This window comes from Homo sapiens, chromosome 15 (genome assembly GCF_000001405.40).
Source record: "Homo sapiens chromosome 15, GRCh38.p14 Primary Assembly".
Taxonomy (NCBI): Eukaryota; Metazoa; Chordata; class Mammalia; order Primates; family Hominidae; genus Homo; species Homo sapiens.
Window position 1 is genome coordinate 60,308,667 of NC_000015.10, and position 22,725 is coordinate 60,331,391.

The 22,725-nt window shown below is 41.1% G+C and overlaps 1 annotated feature.

Moving 5' to 3' along the window:
• Positions 7,930-9,129: an enhancer, noted in NCBI's record as "CDK7 strongly-dependent group 2 enhancer chr15:60608795-60609994 (GRCh37/hg19 assembly coordinates)". NCBI's record gives its function as "activates an origin of replication core promoter dependent on BRD2, BRD4, P300/CBP, MED14 and CDK7 cofactors, with strong dependence on CDK7, by STARR-seq in HCT116 cells {active_cell/tissue: HCT116}" and the evidence as "EXISTENCE:reporter gene assay evidence [ECO:0000049][PMID:35650434]".

The following is a 22,725-nucleotide window of genomic DNA, read 5'->3' on the forward strand; positions in this document are numbered from 1 at the left end:
TAAACAGTAATTACTTTATCACTATAATAATGTTATTACCTTCAGTAAAAAATAAAATAAACTACTTTTATCAAAAATTTATTTTGACTAATTTCTGTTCTTGGGGTTCTGAATGTTCTATCTTCTCTCTTATAGTTAAAAAAACAACTTGGAGAAAAGGGACATATCCATAGCCTGAAAATATCTCCCCTAAATATTTATTAATTGCTGTAGTGATTTTAATATATGTCCACAAATTCTCTGATACTCCTCATTTCAGGAAGTGGAGTTTAATTCCCTTCTGCCTGAATGTAGGCTGGTCTTAGAGACTCAAATCTAATGAATAAAGTACAGAAAGGGAAAAAATGTAATTTTATAGTGGAGAGATCAGGCAGACACCGTCTAAACCAAGTGATCAAGGGTAACATCACAGTGATCAGTCATTTTATTTTGTATCCCCTCGCATGATATGATAAGGGAAGCTCACATCTGTGGTCTTCTTTCCAAACCAGTATAATTACGGGAAAACGTCAGACAAACCCAAATTGAGAGACATTCTACAAAATACCCAAAAAACATCATTTAAAGGGACCAAGTCATGAAAAACAAGGAGACTGAGAAACTGTCACCAACTGGAGGAGCCTATGGAGACAAAACAACTATGTCTACGCAGCGTGGTATTTTGGTTTGCATTCTGGAAAGAAAAAGGACGTTGGTATAAAAATTGGTGATATCAGAATAAAGTCTATAGTTGAAATAGCGTTGCATCAATGGGAATTGCTTAGTTTTGGTAAGTGTACCATGGTTATGTAAGATGTTAACATTAGTGAAAGGTGGCCGGGCATGGTGGCTCACGCCTGTAATCCCAGCACTTTGGGAGGCCAAGGCGGGAGGATCACCTGAGGTCAGGAGTTGGAGACCAGCCTGACTAACATGGAGAAACCCGTCTCTACTAAAAATACAAAATTAGCCGGGCATGGTGGTACATGCTTGTAATCCCAGCTACTCAGTAGGCTGAGGCAGGAGAATCACTTGAACCCAGGAGGCAGAAGTTGCAGTGAGCCGAGATTGCACCATTGCACTCCAGCCTGGGCAACAAGAGCGAAACCCTGTCTCCAAAAAAAAAAAAAAAAAAAAAAAAAAAAAAAAATTTAGTGAAAGTTGAGTGAAGGATATACAGAAATTCCCCATAGTATCTTTGCAACTCTTCTGTGAGTATAAAATTATTTCAAAATAAACAGGTATTCTAAAGAGCCAGTTTATTAAATAAGGCTTGGATAACAGGGAATACCTAAAATACTGGTTTATGGAGAGGTATTTCAAAGAACATGATTAAATTCATGTCTTATCTAAACTTATAACCTGCATTTGAACAGGGCTTAGCAGTGCTAGGCTACACAGAAGGTCCATCTCTGTCTCTCTCCCACAGTAGCATTGTAAATTTGTGATCTTTCACAACCATTCTAGCAGCATTAGGCTCTCCTCTGTTAAAGACCTATATACTCCAAGCTCCAGAAGAAGATGACAAAGAACTCACATTCCAAGGCAGCTTAGCTCCACAAGATCTAGCCCCTCAGCAATCTATAATTACAACTCAACGGCTCCTTTGGGATCAGAATATCAATTTCTAAAGGATAGTTGGGACCCATTTTGCTCAGCAGGTTCTACCTGCTTCAGCCATAATTCTAACCGGGTCTTCCAAGAATCCTTAAGTGGTATAAGACATTACCATTGTATCACTCCTGTCATTATTATTATTAAAATACATCTTCTGATGCCAAGCCTACAGGCCCATTCTACAGGCTACAGTTGGGGTGGAAAGAGTGCTTGCTTTGACTTTATTGCCCAGAACAATTTATAGACAAAGACTGTCACAACATGCTGTTTGTGGTTCTACCTTCATTCAATAAGTATCTATGGAGCAACTGTGCTTGGCCATTCATTGTCCTAGGTGCTAGCGATACCAGGATAACAAAAAAGATACGACCCCTGGTACAACTACTTTAGGAAACATTTAGAAATGCCTCATAAAGGGGAATCTGCTGATACATTCTACCTGGGTGTCTCACTTCCAGCTTTATCTAGTCTATTGCCAATCTTGCATGTGTGGCAGAAGTTATGGGTAAGAATGTTCATAGGAGCGTTGTTTATAATTGCAAAACCTAGAAACAAGTCATCAACAATAGATTCAGTAAATAAAATATAATGTATTCACAAAATGGGATTTATACAACCATGAAAAAATGAACGAACCGTAGCAATACATATCAACAGAATAAATCTCATAAACATAATAATGAAAAAAAGAAGCAAGTCAGAAATGAATATAAACAGAACAATTCCATTTATATAAAGTTCAGACCCAGACCAAATTAAACAATTTATTGCCATGGGATATATACTTAGGTGGCATTTTTTAAAACTATAAGGAAAAGCAGGTTAATAATTAACATGAAATTCAGGATAATAGTTATTACCTATAGGAGGTAGAGAGGCAGAAGAGATCAGAAAAGAACACAGGGAATATCTGGGGAATTAACAAAGTCCTATGTCTAAGACCTGGCTAATGAACGCATATGTGCTTGATTTTGAGGTCATGGTTTTTTAAACTGCACATATACATTTAAACAATCTCTTGTATATGTCTATATTCATTAAGATATGTTTAACATAGGTTTAAAGTGTGCTAAAGTGAAAATCAAAATACAAATATTGCAATAATAATAATGGTATGTGGGAGCCTTTCCTCCAAGCACCTGTTAAAAATAGGTGCAATACATATACACCATGGAATACTATGCACTATGCAGCCATAAAAAAGAATGAGTTCACGTCCTTTGCAGGGACATGGATGAAGCTGGAAACCATCATTCTAAATGAACTATCGCAAGAACAGAAAACCAAACACCACATGTTCTCACTCATAGCTGGGAGTTGAACAATGAGAACACTTGGACACAGGGCAGGGAACATCACACACCAGGGCCTGTTGGGCAGAGCGGGGCTGGGGGAGGGATAGCATTTGGAGAAATGCCTAATGTAAATGACGAGTTGACGAGTGCAGCAAACCAACATGGCACATGTATGCCTATGTAACAAACCTGTACATTGTGCACATGTACCCTAGAACTTAAAGAATAATAATAATAGGTTCAATAAGGCCGGGCACAGTGGCTCAAGTCTGTAATCCAGCACTTTGGGAGGCCAAGGCGGGTGGATCACCTGAGGTCAGGAGTTCGAGACCAGCCTGACCAACATGGAGAAACCCCATCACTACTAAAAATACAAAATTAGCTGGGCGTGGTGGCACATGGCTGTATCCCAGCTAGTCGGGACGCTGAGGCAGAAGAATCACTTGAATTCGGGAGGCAGAGGTTGTGGTGAGCCGAGATCGCCCCCTTGCACTCCAGCCTGGGCAAGAAGAGCGAAACTCTGTCTCAAAAAAAAAAAAAAAAAAAAGGTGCAATATAGTGTCGCCAGTGCTTTACAAAGTCAAAAGGAGGGAGCATTCAGGGAAGAATCCAAAAAGGAGGTGACCCTTAAGGTGAGAATAGTCATCCAGACAAAGCACAGTAAAAAGAAAATGAGGAAATGGTTTGCACAAAGGCCCAGAAAGTTAAGGGAATATATCAAATTTGGGGAAATTAAAATAATGTTTTCTAACTTGTTTCTAGCTAGAGGTAGGCAAGGGAAGATTAGTAAAAATATTGTATTCCTTCCTAAAAGAAGACTTTGGACTTGATTCTGGGAAGCAATAAAGTTGATCCATCATAGCAATGTTTGATCTGTTCTAGGAGTTTTGGGCAGGACTGATGATCCAGAGTGAGACCAGAGACAAAAAGAACTGACAGGAAACCACTGCAATCCACATAAGAAATGCGGTAGCTTGAACCAGGGCCGAGACTGTGGGGACGAGGAAGGGAGAGAGTCTAGAGAGACTTGAGATACAATCAACAATATTTAGTGAGTGGTTGGGTGTGGAGGTGAGGAGGAGAAAAGGGTCTAGGATGATTTTCAAGAATCTGGTTTGGATCAATAGTCTTCATTCAGAGGGAGGAGCAGGGATGTTGGTAAAGAGGGTTTTTCCTCCATCCTGAAGAAGTAGGAGAGAGATAATGAGTCCAAGTTCATATCTAATGACTCAGTTGGCATTGAAGCTGTACAGATGTTTCTAGCTTTCTGATGCTCATTGGCCTATACCTAGAGTGGAGAGAAGGAAAATTAAAGGGGAAAACACCAGCTGATTTAGCTCTGTATGTACACTGTGGAAAGAGACAGAATCCCATAGCAACAATGCAGTTCTTAGGTTGTTTCTGGTCTTAGGTATTGATGTCATCCTTGATCACCGGGGTCAACCAGAGCATGGGGCAGCAAACCACAGAAGAGATAGCACAAGCCTCTTCATTACCAGGAGAGAAGTGGTGCTCTCACTGGGTACAACAATGCAATTGTTTTTCTCATGAGTTGTCAAATTACATTGACCAAATTATGGTCTTGATTTCAGGTATTTCTTTTCTTTTCTTTTCTTTCTTTTTTTTTTTTTTTTTTTTTTTTTTTTTGAGACGGAGTCTCGCTCTGTCCCCCAGGCTGGAGTGCAGTGGCGCGATCTCGGCTCACTGTAAGCTCCGCCTCCTGGGTTCACGCCATTCTCCTGCCTCAGCCTCCGGAGTAGCTGGGACTACAGGAGCCCGCCCCCACGCCCGGCTAATTTTTTGTATTTTTTAGTACAGATGGGGTTTCACCGTGTTAGCCAGGATGGTCTCGATCTCCTGACCTCGTGATCTGCCTGCCTCGGCCTCCCAAAGTGCTGGGATTACAGGCTTGAGCCACCGCGCCTGGCCTCAGGTATCTTTAATACATGCGAAAGTATGGAGAATTCATAGGCACTTTGAGCGAGTAAATCCTTCAGTTAATCTTTGATGGATGATTTCAATTTGGGACTTGCAACGTAGCTATTATCATTCAACCTCACCCTCCTTCAAAAAGTAAAGCATCTCATCCCTATTATAAGGACTCGGAATGGTTTCCATGCACTGTGGGTTGTTTTTTGGTGGGAAGATGGGCAGGGATGGGGAGGGCTACAGCACCAGCTGCATGGGGACAGCAAGGTCAGAAGGGAGGGAGCAAGCAGGTGCTAACATGGTACCTAAGGCTCAAGGATCCTGAGCCTGCATTTCCCCCACTAGCATCAGGAGACAAAGCAGCTGGAATTAGACATGCCTATCTTCCTGTCATTTTTTGATGTTTAACATATTAGCTATATAAAAATAATTTGGGGTGTAATATAGTTTAGTTGTATGTCCCTGTTCAAATCACATATTAAAATGTAATCCTCAGTGTGGGAGGTGGGGCCTGGTAGGAGGTGATTGGATCATGGGGGCGGATTTCTCATGAATGGCTTAACACCATGAATTGGTTTAGCACTGTCCTTGTAATAGTGAGTGAGTTCTCATGAGATTTGGTAATTTAAATGTATGTGGCACCTCGCCCCTCCCTCTCTTTTGTTCCTGCTTTCGCCATGTGTATTAGTCCATTCTTGTATTACTATAAAGAACTGCCTGAGACTAGGTAATTATAAAGAAAAGAGGTTTAATTGGCTCACCCTTCTGCAGGCTGTACAGGAGGCACGGCTGGGGAGGCCTTAGGAAACTTACAATCACGGCGGAAGGTGAAGAGGAAAGAGGCATGTCGTACGTGGCCAGAGCAGGAGGAAAAGAGAGATGGGAGAGGTACTACACAATTTTAAACAACCAGATCTCATGAGAACTCACTCACCAGCATGAGAACAGCAAGGGGGGAGTCCGCCCCCATGATCTAATCACCTCCCACCAGGCCCCTGCTCCAACACTGGGGCCTACAGTTTGACACGAAATTTGGGCAGACACATAAATCCAAACCATATCACCATGTGAGATGTATCTGCTCCTGCTTTGCCTTCCACCTTGAGTAAAAGCTCCCTGAGGCCTCCCAGAAGCAGATGTCACCATGCTTTCTGTACAGCCTGCACAACTGTGAGCCAATTAAACTTCTTTTCTTATAAGTTACCCAGTCTCAGGTATTTCTTTATAGCAATATGGGAAGGGACTAATACAGGGTGTGAAAAAAGGATATTGAGACCTTGGGTGAAGAAACGTTTGCATTTACTCTAAATACTGGGAACTAATAAAAGAAACTGAGAAGTTAAGAAGCTCTAGTGAGCAGATCAAAGTAAAATGATTTTCCCCGATCCCCATCCAGCCATAGATTCAATAAAATCTCTGAAGAATTGGGGTGCAGAAAGATTGAGGACGTTGGGGAGGAAGGAAGGTTCTAACGATAAGGCCCATGACTTCTTTACACACTTGCATACACACACAGTTGCACACATATTCATTTCCCCATGCTATCAGGACACATGGCCATCTATCTACAAGAGAATTTTCTTTTTACCAGGCACCCCACTCCCTCAAAGAAAGCCTGCATCGAAACATCTCCCACTTCTGCCCATTGTGGAAAGACTATTTTTTTGTTGTTGTTTGTTTGAGTTCTTGAATGTGCTACAGTGCAGGTGTACTTCAGGAAAAAGGAACATGCCAGCATTTATGGGGCAGGGGGAGGAGAGGGTATTAAACAAGCATGGAACACTAAACCAGATAAATTTCACCCATGACCTAGTTGTGCCTGGGGCCAGCCCAGAACACAGTAATGCTGTTACCAAAGAACTCTGCATAAGTCATGTCCTTTAATGATTGCAGTAAACCTCTGTTAACTGCATTATTCCTATTTTACAGACCAGGAAACAAGCTCAAGTGTGGTTAAGTCCAGAACTTGGCCATGATCAGCAAGTAAGAGGAAGAAGCAGGACTCAAACCCAGACAGCCTGTCAACTGGCCACCAAGCATAATTATCATGCCTGCTTGGTTTCACATCCTCAGAGGTCAAGATGTTCATACCCACAGAGAACGGGAGAGAACACCAGGTGCATCCAGATAAATCAAGACAATGGGGAACAGAAGATATTTCCAGTGCTCTAGGAAATAAATATTTTCACCTAACCTAAACACTGAGTCGCAATGGTGAAGAATGTTGGGAGTGGGGGATTAACTCAGAGGAAAACTTCCAAGCCATCAGTAGTCAAACTTTAGGAGCCAGACTCTCCTGGGAACAGGGCATATTTGAGAAGCCATCTGTTCTCAGAACTAAAGAGCATACAGGGACAGAAATAGGTCAAGCATCAACTAGATTTACTGGAATCAATACTAAGCTTTGGAGCTCAAAAATATCAGTCAATAGAATCAATGACCTTCCCTGTCATTGGTCCATTTTTCACACTGCTGATAAAGACATACCAGAGACTGGGCATCACAAAAGTGAGAGGTGTATTGGATTTACACTTCCACGTGGCTGGGGAGGCCCCACAATCATGGTGGAAGATGAAAGGCACGTCTCACATGGTGGCAGACAAGCGAAGAGAATGAGAGCCAAGCAGGGGTTTCCCCTGATAAAACCATCTGATCTCATGAGACTTATTCATTACCATGAGAACTGTATGGGGGAAACCGCCCCCATGATTCAAATTTTCTCCCACCAGGTCCCTCCCACAACACATGGGAATTATGGGCATACAATTCAAGATGAGATTTGGGTGGGGACACAGCTAAACCATATCATTCCCCAAACCTGCTTTCTTCCATGATTGGGAATAGAAAGAATGTTCAAGTAGGATCTAGAAGATTGAGTTCAAATTCTTGTTCACTTGTTTTCTGGCTGTGTGTTTTTAAGCATGTAGCTAAACCTCTCTGAGACACAAATGTGGCAACTAAAAATCAAAAGTTTTTTAAAGTACTAGACATCAGAACACTGGTCCAAATCACTATATGTGTTCAAGTCACAGCTGAGCCGTGTGTCAAATGGGGATCATAATGCCCCCCTTCCAGGGATGCTGCAAATGGGCAAACACATGCAGAGGTGCCAGGTTAACTATGAAGGCTACTTAAAATGATCACACTTGCCTCCACCAAAAAAAGAGGGAATCTAACCAGGAGGTCCTTCAAAATTCCTCTTGGTTAAGCTTTGGTCAATGATCCTTTGGTGAAAAGAGCTAATAAACTGCTTACTAGGTGACAAGAAGGGCCAGCTTCATGGGGCACAACCTGTGCGGTCACACAGGGCCCTGCTGTCTCTATCTTCAGATTCATACTAATGTTTGAACAAGGAGCCCCACATTTTCATCTTGCACTGAGTCCTGCAAATCATGTAGCAGGGCCCGGTGCATGGCACTGTGCTTAGCATCCAGAACACAGCAATAAAACAGATTGGCATCTTTGAGGAGCTCCAAGCAAGTAGATTACTTTGGGAGCAAATCCTACAAAGCAAACAGGACACTTACAGAAATAAATTAACTTGCATATTTTATTCCTCAGTCCAATCTTAGACTGAAAGCTCCAAAGACTAAAGCAGTTATTTATCCTTAGGACAAGCCCTGGCTTGTTTGCACATGAAACACACCTGAATACCTACAGACTCACCCAGCCCCACCCTTCTGAGCTGAGAAGATGTTTTCTAGGACTCCTGCAACACCCTGGGGCATGTCCACCCACCTATGACGTAGGTAAATGAGTACCTAGAGCAGTGGTCCTCAAAGCACAATCTCTAGACAAGCAGCACAGCATCACCTGGGAGCTTGTTAGAACTGCAAACTCGGGGCCAGGCACGGTGGCTCACGCCTGTAATCCCAGCACTTTGGGAGGCCAAGCAGAAGGATCACTTGAGGCCAGGAGTTTGAAACCAGCCTGGGCAAGAGTAAGACCCCATCTCTACAAAAAATACAGAAAACTTAGTCAGGCCTGGTGGCTTGCGCCTGTAGTCTTAGCTGCTTGGGAGGCTGAAGCAGGAGAGATCACTTGAGCTCAGGAGCTCTAGGTCACAGTGAGACATGATCGCACCACTACACTCCAGCCTGGATGACAGAGTGAGACCCTGTCTTAAAACAAATGCAAACTGTATTAGTTCATTTTCACACTGCTGATAAAGACATACCCAAAACTGGTAACAAAAAGAGGTTTAATTGGTCTTATGTTCCACATGGCTGGGGAGGCCTCAGAATCATGGCAGGAGATGAAAGGCACATCTTATATGGCGGCGGCAAGCAAAAATGAGGAATAAGCAAAAGCAGAAACCCCTAATAAACCCATCACATCTGATGAGACTTATTCTCTATCACAACAATAGCACAGAAAAGACTGGCCCCCATGATTCAATTACCTCCCCCTCGGTCCCTCCCATCATAACACATGAGAATTCTGGGAGATACGATTCAAGTTGAGATTTCAGTGGGGACACAGTAAAACCATATCACAAACTCTCAAGCCCCACCCAAGACCTGCTGAATCAGAAATCCTGGAAATGGGCCCAGAAATCTGGGTTTTAACTGGTGCTCCAAGGGGCTTCCTCTGCGTGCTAAGGTTTGAGAACCACGGGCCTACGTTATCAAAACTAATCACTTTGAAATTTATTATCTTTCTTTCCTTTTTTTTTTTTTAATGCTATGAAGGGTGTGTTGAGGAGAAATTAGCAAGGCTGGGCCTTCCCGGCATCGTCCTCTACAACACAGTCACTGGCAATTCCCAAAGACCAGAGTCTCTTTGTGTGTTTCCTGCAAAATTCAACATAACTCACATACTTTGTTTTTGCCTGTCCATTCAAGACACAATGTAACCCCACAGTCCCTTGTGAACACACATCCCATTTGCACATGTCAAGTATCTGATTCATTTAGACTTATCCCAATCGCTTAATGTGCGCAACAGAAGCCTCCTGGTATTCTAGCTCTAAACAGTTGAGTTAATACCCTTGGACAAAGCGGGCCTGCTGTTTGGGTGAGCTCCCATGGGTCTGACAGCCACAAAGAGAAGCTTGTTGAATGCTCACATAAAAAGAGAAGAGATAGGAGGCAGATACTCTGATCTTTATGACCCTCTGATTATTCTATCAGTTAGTTAAAACATAAATCCATCCCCTGACTTAACAAAATACTATTTTACTTCCTTTTACCCCATATTTTATCTTTTATAGGCAATAAAACATAAAAACCTTACAAAGGTTATGTTCTCATCAATTTTTGCACTAAATGACAATAAATTAAGTGTAGGTTACTGCAGCAGCAACATAGATGTCAGCTTAAAACTTCCTTGAAAGACAACCTCCCACCATTAGAGTTGAAAGCTGCTAATCAAAGATTTCTTGATTAAAATTAACACCCGATTTTAAAATGGCAATGCTGCTCTATTTCTTTAAGTAGTTAGGGAGTCTCTAGCCCTTTCTCTTGTTTCTTAAAATCTGTTTTAGGAGTCCACAAATAAAAAAGAATGTAAAAAAGTGAAAAATTTATTTATTGGGCACACACAAGAAACACTTTGTGGAATCACTTTGAGTTTAATGTCTTTCAGCTTTTATTATAATAAACAGCCTCCCAAACCTTCACAGCACTAAACAGGTATCAGATGTATAAACTAAAAATTTATTTTTTATTTATATGAAAGTCATTCAACCAATATTTGTCAAGAGGTTACATTAAATTAAGGTTAATTAAACGAGCTGGTAAACATAAAGCATCTAGAACAAAACCTGGCACATAGAAAAAGCCCAGCAAGTATTAGTTATCCCTTGTGCATTATTATTGTCATTGCTGTTATTATGATATGTGCTATTATGTGCTATGTATTAGAAATACAATGACAAGCTAAACAGATATGGCTCTCCCACTCTCCTGAATTTCAAGTGCAAGTGGCAAAGACAGACATCAATCAAATAATCACACAAATAAATGTAAGTTACAAATTGTTACAATGAAAACATAACCCATTTCAGGGAGGGGGCACTAAAAACTCAGAGTAGTTTCATATCGTTTTGATTTTGAAATCTCTTGGATATTAGGGAGGCTGAAGTGGGAGGATCCCTTGAGCCCAGGAATTTGAGGCTGCACTGAGCTATGATCATCCCACTGCAGTACAGCCCGGGCGACAGAGCAAGGCCCTGTCTGGAAAGAAGGAAGGAAGGAAAGGAGGGGAGGGGAGGGGAGGGGAGGGAGAAAGAAAGAAAGAGAGAAATCTCTTAGATAGTAATTTGGACCAAATCATGATTCTTCCTCCATTGCTTTTCAAGATCCTTCTATATTACTATGCAAATTCCAAATGGAAAACAGCCAAAAAGATATGCAAACAAATATTCACATTACATTACTGTATCACTCAACTCCAGAAATGTTTTCCACAAATTTGTAGATTAAAACTTACATTTTTTATACTGTTAACATTTTCAAATACAGAAACTGGGGTATCCCAAGAAACAAGCCAGTGGTCAGATACATATATTCAATGAAACTTTCATGAATTTTTCAGAACTTTATGAATAAATCCCAAATTAAAGCTAGGGTTTACCTCTTAGTTTGCAATCCACTTGCTTGAATCTTATGACTATTTCTAGATTGTAAGTTACTTTGTTAAAAATATTTTTTATTCCCTTCATATGTTTTTTAAGCCTTAAGATAGGTTTTCTGGTGACTTCACTTAGAGCCAAAAGCAGGAAAGAAAATACGTGATCACAGAATGTGGAGGACCCATTTTTTTAATAGACCCTATTTGACAAGAGAACTGGGAAGATTCAGAAAGGCCCAGGGACGTGTTGACTGGCAGAGTCACACCACAGAGGGTGGAGCCGGAAGGAAACCCTCAGACCATCCCCTCAACTTCTGTAGCACATGGTGGAAGGGCCAGGATCGGGGTCCACGGGTCTACATCTGGATCCCAGCTCCACTGCATCGTGTCTGAACTTGGGGCAGGTAGCTTTACCTTTTTCAGGCTCCTGCTCTATGAAGTGGGTAGCCACCTCATTAGGAAGCAGTGAGGATGAGGTGACAGAATGCATGCCAGTGCTTCTCAGCAGAAACCGAAACAGTGAGTACTAGTTAGCATCAGGGCAAGCTTTTCAAAACCCTGCCTCCTGATGAGATAAGATCCAAAATTACAACTACAAAAACACAAACAAACTGAGACCTGGAAAGCCAGTTTCCACTGTCCATGAACTGAGGCAGAAGAACAGACCCCTGTGCTTCCCATGAGCTGACCATTACCTGTTCCAGCCAGGCTGACTTCTTTCCCCTAGGGCCACCTGGAGAAGTCAGTGTAGTGGTCAGCTCATAGGGAAGCACATTTCCTCTGAGCCTTTAGAGGCCTCTATGCCCTGACCTCTCAATTCATTCTACCCTGACCCACACCTCATAGGGTTATTTATTACTAGACTAGAAATTGTAGCTAAACCAATAGCTCAATTAGAACTTTGCAATCAATTTCTGTGTGCCTAGGAGTTTAATTCCATAGGCTAGTCATACGAAGGAAAAAAGACAGTCATCCAAAACTCTTTCATTCATCCATTTAAAACATTTATTAAGTACATGCTGTGTGCCAAGCTCCAGGCTAAACCCTAAATATAAAGGTGCATAAGAGAGTCTTTGTTGTTAAGGTGCTCACCATCTTGGGGGAGGAAGGCACTTAATAGATAATGATAACATGGTATAATGACAAAGTTATACACAAAATGTTAAAATGTTTTTAGTTTTAGGAATTTGGTCTGGAAAGTAAAATATTCAGAACTTAAAGAAAAAAATACCATTCATCAATAATAACTATTTTATCTTCTTTATTAGCTAATTAATACATCAGTTGTAATAGAACCATAAAATGAAGATAAGCAAAAAGAAAAATATTACCTATATTCTTACCTATATTATTTATTTACATTCTAAATAGCTACTGTTAACACTTAGCTGCATGGCCTTCTGCAACTTTAAATATATATCTTTTTCTAAACAAGATATAAGACCATTTTATGCATGGTATGATAATATGAGTTTTTCACTTATCAGTTGATATGGTTTGTCTGTGTCCCTACCCATTATCCTAGGTGAAGTAACTCAGAAACAGAAAGTCAAACACCAGGGTCTTGCTTATAAGTGGGTGCTAACAGCGTACACACATGGACATACAGAGTGGAATAAGAGACAATGGAGATTACAAAAGGTGGGAGGGTAGGAGCGGGGGACAGTTGAAAATTACCTCTTGGGTACAACGCTCATCATTTGGGTGATGGGTACAGTAAAAGCCCAGACTTTATTAATGTGTAATATGTGCGTGTAAGAAATCCACCCTTGTATCCTCTAAATATATAAAAATTAAAAAAAAATAACTTGTCTGTGTGGGGAAAATGGTGTGGAGAAGGTCTCTCTCTGTTGCCCTGTTGCCCAGGCTACAGTGCAGTGATACAATCATAGCTCACAGCAGTCTCAACCTCCTGGACTCAAGCAATCCTCCCATCTCAGCCTCCAGAATAGGTGGGACTACAGGCACCAGCCACCATGCCCAGCTAGTTTTAATTTTTCTTTTTCTTTTTTTTTTTTTTAGAAACAGGGTCTCACTATGCTGCCCAGACTGGTCCTGAATTCCTGGTCTCAAGCGATCCAACTGCCTTGTCTTCCAAAAGTGCTGGAAGGACTTGGGGCAGAGCAAGGTGACAGATAGAAGGCTCCACTGACCATCCACTCAGCAAGCCCACCAATTTAACATCTACACCAGCAGCATTGGCGTCAGTCACTGCACCTGGCTGGGATTACAGGTGTGAGTCACTGCACCTGGCCAATTTATCATTTTAAATGATTGCCCAGCATTCTACTATTGATACCAGAATTTCTTTAGCTACTCTCTACTGTTGGATATTTAGACTGCTTTCAATCTTTTGGCTGTCATAAATATTACAATATTCTATTCACAAAGCTCTTCAACCTAGTCCAGTTATTTTTCCAGAATAACTTCCTAGACGTGGAATTGTTGGATCAAAGGGTGTGCATCTTTAAGACTTTGATAACTATTACAAAACTGCCCTCCAGAAAGCTTGTACCGTTAAATACCACCATTTCCCCCTATCATCACCCTCACTGCATAGCAGCACTCTTTTTCCTCTTCGCATTTAGTATTTTTACATTTCAATGGGCCTACTGTAGCTAAAAATATCGTTTATGGCAGCATCTTTTTTAGAAGTAATGACACTTGCTGAAATTAGGCAGTTTTGAGCTGTGCCATAATCCTAGTTTGGGTGTGGGGCATCAGTGCTTCTCAGACTCTACCATGCATTGAGGATCTTGTTAAATTGCAGATTGATTCATTAGGTCTGGGTTAGAGATTGAGTTGCTGCATTTCTAACAAGCTCCAGGGAACACCGATGCTGCTGGTCCAAAAACTACACTTTGAGGAGCTTGAGCAATTCACTGAACTGCAAAGGGCCTCTGTTTACCCATCTGTGAAATGAAAAGCTTGGAGTAGCCGGTCTTTGAGTGCCTTCTTTTTCCACTCCACCCCCCGCCCCTGAGACGGAGTCTCACTCTGTTGCCCAGGCTGGAGTGCAATGGCGTGATCTCGGCTCACTGCAACTTCCACCCCCCGGGTTCAAGAAATTCTCATGTCTCAGCCTCCGGAGTAGCTAGGATTACAGGCACCAGCCACCACGCCTGGCTAATTTTTGTATTTTTTAGCAGACATGGGGTTTCTCCACGTTGGTGAGGCTGGTCTTGAACTCCTGACCTCGGGTGATCCACCTGCTTCAGCCTCCCAAAGTGCTGGGATTACAGGCGTAAGCCACCACGCCCGGCCTAAGTTCCTTATCTCCAACAGTGAAAGAAGTTGTCCCTTGAGCAAATATAACTAGGTGCATCCTGAATTTTTCACTAGGACAGTTGTGAATATCTTCTTCCCTTCATCCCGCAGGACTGCACGCAGGTCCACAATGAGGAAACAAAGTGTGAGGCCAACCAAGCAGCTGACATTCAAGCAGCCACTTCTCAAGGGAAAAAACACCCCTGAAAGAGAACACTCTGCTCCAACTGGCATTTCTCCTGGTAGTGCATGATTATAACGATGTACATCATTTTCTTTTCCCAAAAGGAATAGATTTAGCAAGAACCTGAGGCTAATTCGCCCATTAAGGGAACAAAGAGTGAAATAAGGGAGGAGAATTGACAGAAATATTGCATCCGTAAATACCTTGCCAAAGAGCTTGCAGAAGTCAGCTCTCGGCACAGGGAGTCTCAGTGTCTTCGACAGAATTTGACTTGTCCTGGCTACTCCCTTCTGTTTGTTTCTCCCGCATGCTTTTCTGCAACACTAAAAGGTAGGCAGAAGGACAATATTAAAAGATGGGCAGAAGCAGCTCAGAATGCCTGGGCTGACTCCAGTGGCCGCCTAAAATAATGGGGAATCTATAGACATCTTTTCTTGTTTACCAGTGGTGGGCAAATGCTGCCACGCTAGTTCTGTAAGAACATGAAACATGTGTTATTCACCCTGATAGAAGAAAAACTGTAAATGCGCTCTAGTTCAGTTAGGGTATCAGATAAGACCGTGAGTGGCTGTTGGGTTCAATTCTCTATTTTTGCAAAACTGGGCTGGAATTATTTACTTTTAGTAACAATGCATTCGCCCCACCTTCAAACATTTTTCTCCTCCTTCTTTCCTTTTACTGGAAGAGAGTTTCATTTGTTCACAAAACTCTTTTTCTCACTTTAATTTCCTTTAAATTCAGTCCGTTTTGACTCCTAAGGAAACTTTCATTTTTAAAAAAGGACCAAACTCCTTTGTTTTTCTCTTAGATGGATGATGCCCTGCCCTGCTCTCCAGCAGCCCCCACAAAGTTAGGAGGTTTTGTTTCTTAAATTAGGCCAGAACTAGTCATTCTGATGAACTCCAACTCCAATCAAGGACATTGGCCAATCTGTCAGAACCTAAAATAAAAATAAATCCACTAGCAGTGTCTTCCACTTTGAATGTTTATCCTGCTGGGTGCCCCTCTTTCTTTCTGCAATGGAAGAACCCGCTTCCATTTTGCAAGTCTGTGTGTGCCCCCTCGTTTGGAGCCATTTGCAATCTCTTGCACTCCCGTTTCAAGGTGGAGCCCCAGCCAAGATGAGTTTCTCTGAAGAGCTGCTACCCTAATTCCTCCCGTTCACTTCGAAGCTTGTCAGGGGGACCCAAGCAATAAGAAGGTCAATAGGAAAACAAATCCCACCTTATTAAGTCTTGTTTGATCTTAAAACCACATCATCCGAGATTTCAGCGACATTATGCTGGCTCCGCACAAGAGGAACAGAGTTTTCTTATGAAAATAAATTAGACAAGCACACAGAAGAAAAAGAAAATGATGTGCAACGGTTAAAATGTTTGAGAGCCTTACATGTGGCCAGCGAGCTCAGCAAAGGACACTGGTTTCTTTTTCTCTCTTCTTTAGTCTTTTATTCCCTACTCTCTGTTCTCCTTGCAGCAAAACAAATATTTTTCCTACCACAAATATTTTTAAGGTGCTACTTTTCAATTAACGATGTTTTATTTCTTTTGTGTGATGGGGTTTTTCTTTTTCGCACTGAAATGATAAAGACACTGAAGATGGCAAAGGGAAGCCCTAGGAACAGCCTTGCTACAATCCATCAGCTGCGATAATATCAAGATGAATATATTGTCAGGAATCTGTATGTAGCATTTCATTTATCCTACCCACTCTGCTAAGAGCGGCTCCCCCGGGGATTACATTATTATTCAAGCTTCCTGGACTCACTCCAAATGCATATTGCAACTACAATTCAAAGGGAAACTTATAAAAGGTGATAGGAAATAGACCTTCTACAGAACATTTTTTAAAAATTAACCTTTTCAGAGTTTAATTCCATCCTATATACCTATAAATAGACCAGCTTTCAGGAACTAAAAACTAATCCTATAGTAATAACACAAAGCTCAATTTCTCATTCCATACGATCATTAATATTACTTTAAAAATCACGAGAAATCTCTTCAACTTCTTAAGCATTGTAATTCATTTCTGTACACCAATTCAAGAAACCTCATTAGTTTAGGTGGCCTTTTTGCAATACCATCCAAGGCACGCAAATATTTGGAATTTTTACCTTAGGTCAGAGTTTAAGAAAAAAATGATTTCTCATTTCCAGAAAGGATTTATGAATGTAGAAAAATGCTTTTGTGACAGTGACATGTTTGTGTTACCTAATTCACAAATAAAATAAGCTATATAGAATATATGAAGTAAAAATCAAAAGGAAAAAAGAGAAAGGATTTTATATAAATGGTGGATAATTTTTAAGTAAAAAAAAATCTTGTTACATCCTTAACATTTTTAAATCTTGTTACATCCTTAACATTTTTTTCTATAACCCAGTTTCAATACTCCAATCAAATGTAAGATGGAAGAGCTTTGATTTGAGAGAAAAAAAATCCTTTGAACATTGATCGACATGTGATTTGTGCAATTATTTAACCTGGATTTAACTCCCTCTACTCTATGCTCAAATCACTTGATTGACTGAGATGCTGTTTCCATTGAGCTGGGTTTACAATTATCTTTAAACAAGCGAAACTTCAAAGGCTGCTCAATGGGTATTTTCCGTTCTTCATGAGAACTCGTAAATGTATAACCTGCATATAAACAAGTCACTCTACCTAATTAAATGGAATCTCTTCCTCTCTATTAAAAATTTAGAAGTGCTGCCTGGGTATAAACATGTCATCTCAGAAGGTGGGAGGAGAGACCCTCTTAACGTCCGTGAACAACCAGCTGAATCTCCTTTAAGCAAAGCCACGTTAATAATAGCACAGACACATAAATTATTCTAATTATTTTATTATCAGTAAAGATTGGTTAAACGGAAAGGGTGTTCATTGTTGGCAATTATGCCCTCAAGTTTTATCTGACTACTAGGGAAATGCAGTCCAGGGCTTTAATTTACTTCAGAGACCGTCACATAGCTTCTTGCCCACTTTCTTTTTCAAACATCTGTATCCTAGAAGAGGTAACAGGTAATGGAGCATTTTCGCTGATGGCTGCGTCTAGACTGGAAAATGTTTTTTTGTTTGTGTTTGTTTGTTTGTTTTTGTTTTCTTTAATCACATTTCTAGACTTAGAACTCTTAGGAAAATGATCCATAAAAGGTCTAGTTTGGAAATTGAAATGTTCTTAAAGCGTTTTGAGTTTGTGTTGTTTCGTTTGATTGTTAAAGGAAGAAAAGGTTCTTAAAGTCCTTGTCCCTTTTTTGAAAACTGATGGAGAAATTATAAAGCACCTCCAGCTAATGAAAATAGTTTACCTTGAGCTCAGGATTCACTGCTATAGCTCCCAATCTTCTTTTTTTAAAAAAAAGAAAAACTCTTTTCATAAAGTTTGAAACAATATTTGTGGCATTAAGCTTTATATCATAAGACCAGGCAGAAATTGCAGCATGTAAATGTTTGAAAAGGAGACGTAGACTTTTGAGCTGTGAGGTGCTTTGTTGGAGCGTCCTCTTGTGGTCAAATGTCATCAATACAACTTTAGAGTCACTTTTTTTTAAAGGGCGGTTTTGACAAACCCACAGTAGCGCAATGTTGACACAAGTTGCAATTCAGGATTGAAAGTTTGGTATCTTGTTAGATTTTGTATCCTCTCCTATTCTCCAGAAACACCTTAAAATGCATTCACTCAAGCAAACAGGAATTCATGAGAGCTCTTAAATATACAAGAACTCTTAAAATACACAAAAATTATGCACAAATGCAAGGCAATGCTCCTTACTGATCTGGGAACAGAGAAAGTCTACCTCATGAGGTGGCATCTCTCCCCAGGTGTCCTTCAACTGGCCATGGGAGGGACAGTTTTTTCCCATCAGCACCACTGTCAGAGGCCAATAGCATGAGATGTAGTGGCTGCAGGCTGGGTGGATCATGTCACCCATCACTGCCCCTGTGACGTTGAGTGCACCCATCTGCAAGGAGAAGGTATATCCCCAGTGGAGCAAGGCTCCCAGAGGCCTCAGTTCTTAGATGGAAGTGAGTATGGCTTTTCTCTGATACCTGTTCCAATAGGGAATTCAAAGTGAGGGGGAAATATTAAAGGGAGTTATTATATTCAAGTATTTCCATAATTTGTTAACTGTAAAATATATATCATTTTTATGGCTTCAAAATAATCTACTTAGAAGCCTCACTAAAGATAAGGATCTTTGTGAAAATTCCTGCCTTTGACCAGAAATCTGGGTTAAAACAGATTGAGAAATGAGAGCTTCTCTTTGATACCTCACATTTTTAGGTCTTGAAGGGACTCTGGGCATTATAGATTTCAAACTTCTCATTTTACAGATTAGAAAGAAAACAAAGAGGCTGGGCACAGTGGCTTATGCCTGTAATCCCAGCACTTTGGGAGGTCAAGGTGAGCAGATCACTTGAGGCCAGGAGTTCAAGACCAGCCCGGCCAACATGGTGAAATCCCGACTCTACTAAAAATACAAAAATTAGCTGGGTTTGGTGGCAGGGGCCTGCAATCCCAGCTACTCAGGAGGCTGAGGCAGGAGAGTTGCTTAGACCCAGGAGGTGGAGGTTGCAGTGAGCCAAGATCACACCACTGCACTCCAGCCTGGCTGACAGAGTGAGAGAAAGAAGGAAAGAATGAAAGGAAGGAAGGAAGGAAGGAAGGAAGGAAGGAAGGCAGGCAGGCGGGAGGGAGGGGGAGGGAAGAGGGGGGAGGGAGGGATAGGGGATGTGGGGAGAGAGAGAGAAGAAAAGAAAAGAGAAAGAAAGAAAAGAAGGCACAATGAGGGATAGGGACCTGCCCAGGGTCTCCTGGTAGAAAGCAGCAAACTTGGGATGGGAAGGGAGTGTCTCAGCTGTAGTTAACATGGCCCACCCTCCTTGGCTCCATCTTGCCAAAGAGCTTTCTGGCATCCAATTCCTAACACTAGCCTGAAGTTCCCAATTTGCCTCAATTGCCCCTACACTTCACCTAAAACTTCTGTCCTGCCACTGATTGGTCCATCCTGGCTCTTTCCTCATAATGATAAATAAATGATCACCGTATTCTTTAAGATAAGACTAGCCGCATTTGAAAATCACATAATATAAAGCATCCTCTCTGAAAATTTCTGGAATTCTCATTCCTTGTTTATGTACCTGGATTTAACTCCCTCTACTCTATGCTCAAATCACTTGATTGACTGAGATGCTGTCACTCTTGTCACTCAAGAGTCTTATACAAAATAGGGTATGGAAAGAAACTAATAATGTGCATTTTTATTATAAATGCCAATTTTAGCACATCTCAATGACTGATTTTATAGATCATTAGGAAGTAGCTTTTAGTCATTTATGAAAATAAAAGCCCATAGAATTATTCATCGTAGGTAAAAGAAAAAACTGAAGAAAGGTCTTTGATCAGCTGCCCTAAGGTTTTCAGCTAATATATGACATAGAAATGTGTAAGGGTTCTGGGAGATTGATGGACCGCCAAGATCTGAGATGGCTATGGTTGCCGCAGACATCCCCACAAGATGGCGCTCTTCTTTATTTTCCATTCATCTTAATTTTAAAAAGTGATTTTTACAGTTTCAGAATAAAACAGAATCATGAAATATGTAGATGGTTTCATATATTATCCTGTTTAATGTTGCAACATACATCGCAGTTATAAAAATCAGCGTCCCCCTCCCCCACCCTGTCAGGAGGCGATCCCTGCCTGGATCCCCAAGGGTAGGGTGAGGGGTGTTGATGGTGCTCTTAGGAAATGCCAGGACTTGGCAGAAAGGGAGTGTGTGGGGTGTGGATGTGTGTTGCAAGATTCTGTTTTTCCTAAAAGGTGAATTTAGTCTTAAAAGTATGTTAATAAGATTTTCTCATATATTAAGAGTTTTCTATCATCAAGGCTAAAGCAGAGGCTTCCCAATCACAGCCCCTTCCTCCACAAATTCCCCTCCTGAAGGGACTGTGCTGTCTATATCCCCTCCCTCCCACAGCAGTTCCTCTCCTGGGCTATTGAAATAGCAATGGATTCATAACTCTCTTTAGAAAGCAGCAGACAGCAACTGATTTCGCAGGAAAATGAGTAAAAAGAAAATAATATGTTGAAGTTATTTTAAAACCTCATGGATTTGGGCTAGAGTTCCCAATGATTGCCTCCACCATACTCTGGTTCCAAAAACTAGACTGAAATATTTTGCTAATAAAGAAATTGATCCTGGCTTTTCAACAAATGAGGCTGGAACAACTGGATGTCCATATGCAAAAAGAATAGCCTAGAGAAAGACCTTATACCTTACATAAAAATTAATTCAGAATGGGCCAGGTGCAGAGGCTCATGCCTGTAATACCAGCACTTTGGGAGGCCAAGGCAGGCGGATAACTTGAGGTCAGGAGTTTGAGACCAGCCTGGCCAACACCCTGTCTCTACCAAAAAATACCAAAATTGTCCAGGTGTGGTGGTCCACGCCTGTAATCCCAGCTACTTGATTGAGACAGGAGCTGAGACAGGACAATCGCTTGAACCCAAGAGATAGAAGTTTCAGTGAGCCAAGATTGCACCACTGCAGTCCAGCCTGGGTGACAGAGTGAAACCCTATCTCAAAAAAGAGAAAAAAAAAAAAAGTCAATTCAGAATGAATGGCCTAAACATAAACTGCAAAACCATGAAAACTTCTTGAATACAACGTAGGAGAAAATCTACATGACCTTGGGTTTGGTGATGAGTTTTAAAATACAATACCAATAGCAATCTCCAAGAAAGAAAAAATTGGTAAGTTGGACTTTACTAAAATTTAAAACTTCTGCTCTGTGAAAGACACCGTTAGGAGAATGAAAAGACAAGCCACAGGCTGGAAGAAAATATTTGCAGAACACATATCTGACAAAGGACTCGTATTTAAAACCCGAAAGAATTCTTAAAACTCAACAAATGAAAAACAAGTAACAGAATAAAGAAGGTGCAAAAGATCTGAAAAGACACCTCAATAAAGAAGATATATATGGCACAGAAGTATACAAAAAGGTGTTTGACATCATTTGTCATTAGAAAATTGCAAATGAAAATAATGAAACACTACTGGGGCTGGGCGCGGTAGCTCATGCCTATAATCCCAAAACTTTGGGAGGCCAAGACGGGTGGATCACCTGAGGTCAGGAGTTCGAGACCAGCCTGGCCAACAGGGTGAAACCCTGTCTCTACAAAGAATACAAAAATTACCTGGGTGTGGGGGTACGTGCCTGTAATCCCAGCTACTCCAGAGGCTGAGGCAGGAGAATCGCTTGAAGCCAGGAGGCGGAGGTTGCAGTGAGCTGAGAACGCACCACTGTACTTTAGCCTGGGTGACAGACCAAGACCCCATCTCAAAAAACAAAAAAAAGAAAAAAGAAAAGAAACACTACTACACAACTATTAGATACTACACAACTATTAGAGTGGCCACACCCAAAAAATCTGACAATACCAACTGCTGGCAAGGATGTAGAGTAACAGAAACTCCCATTCTTTGCCAGTGGGAATTCAAAATGGCATAGCCACTTTGGAAGACAGTTTAACAGTTTCTTACAAAATGAAATAATCTTTTATCATGTGACCCAGCAATTGTGCTCCTAGGTATTTGTCCAAATGAGCTGAAACTTATGTCCCCACAAAAATTTGCACAGCAATGTTTATAACAGCTTTATTCAAAATCACCAAAAACTGAAAGCAGCCAACATGTCCTTTAATAGGTGAATGGAAAAGCAAACTGTGGTGCATTTATACAATGAAATATCATCTAGCAATAAAAAAAAAAGATATCAAACCACGAAAAGACATAGATGGCCAGATGTGGTGGCTCACGCCTATAACGCCAACACATTGAAAGACCAAGGTGGGAGGATCACTTGAGGTTAG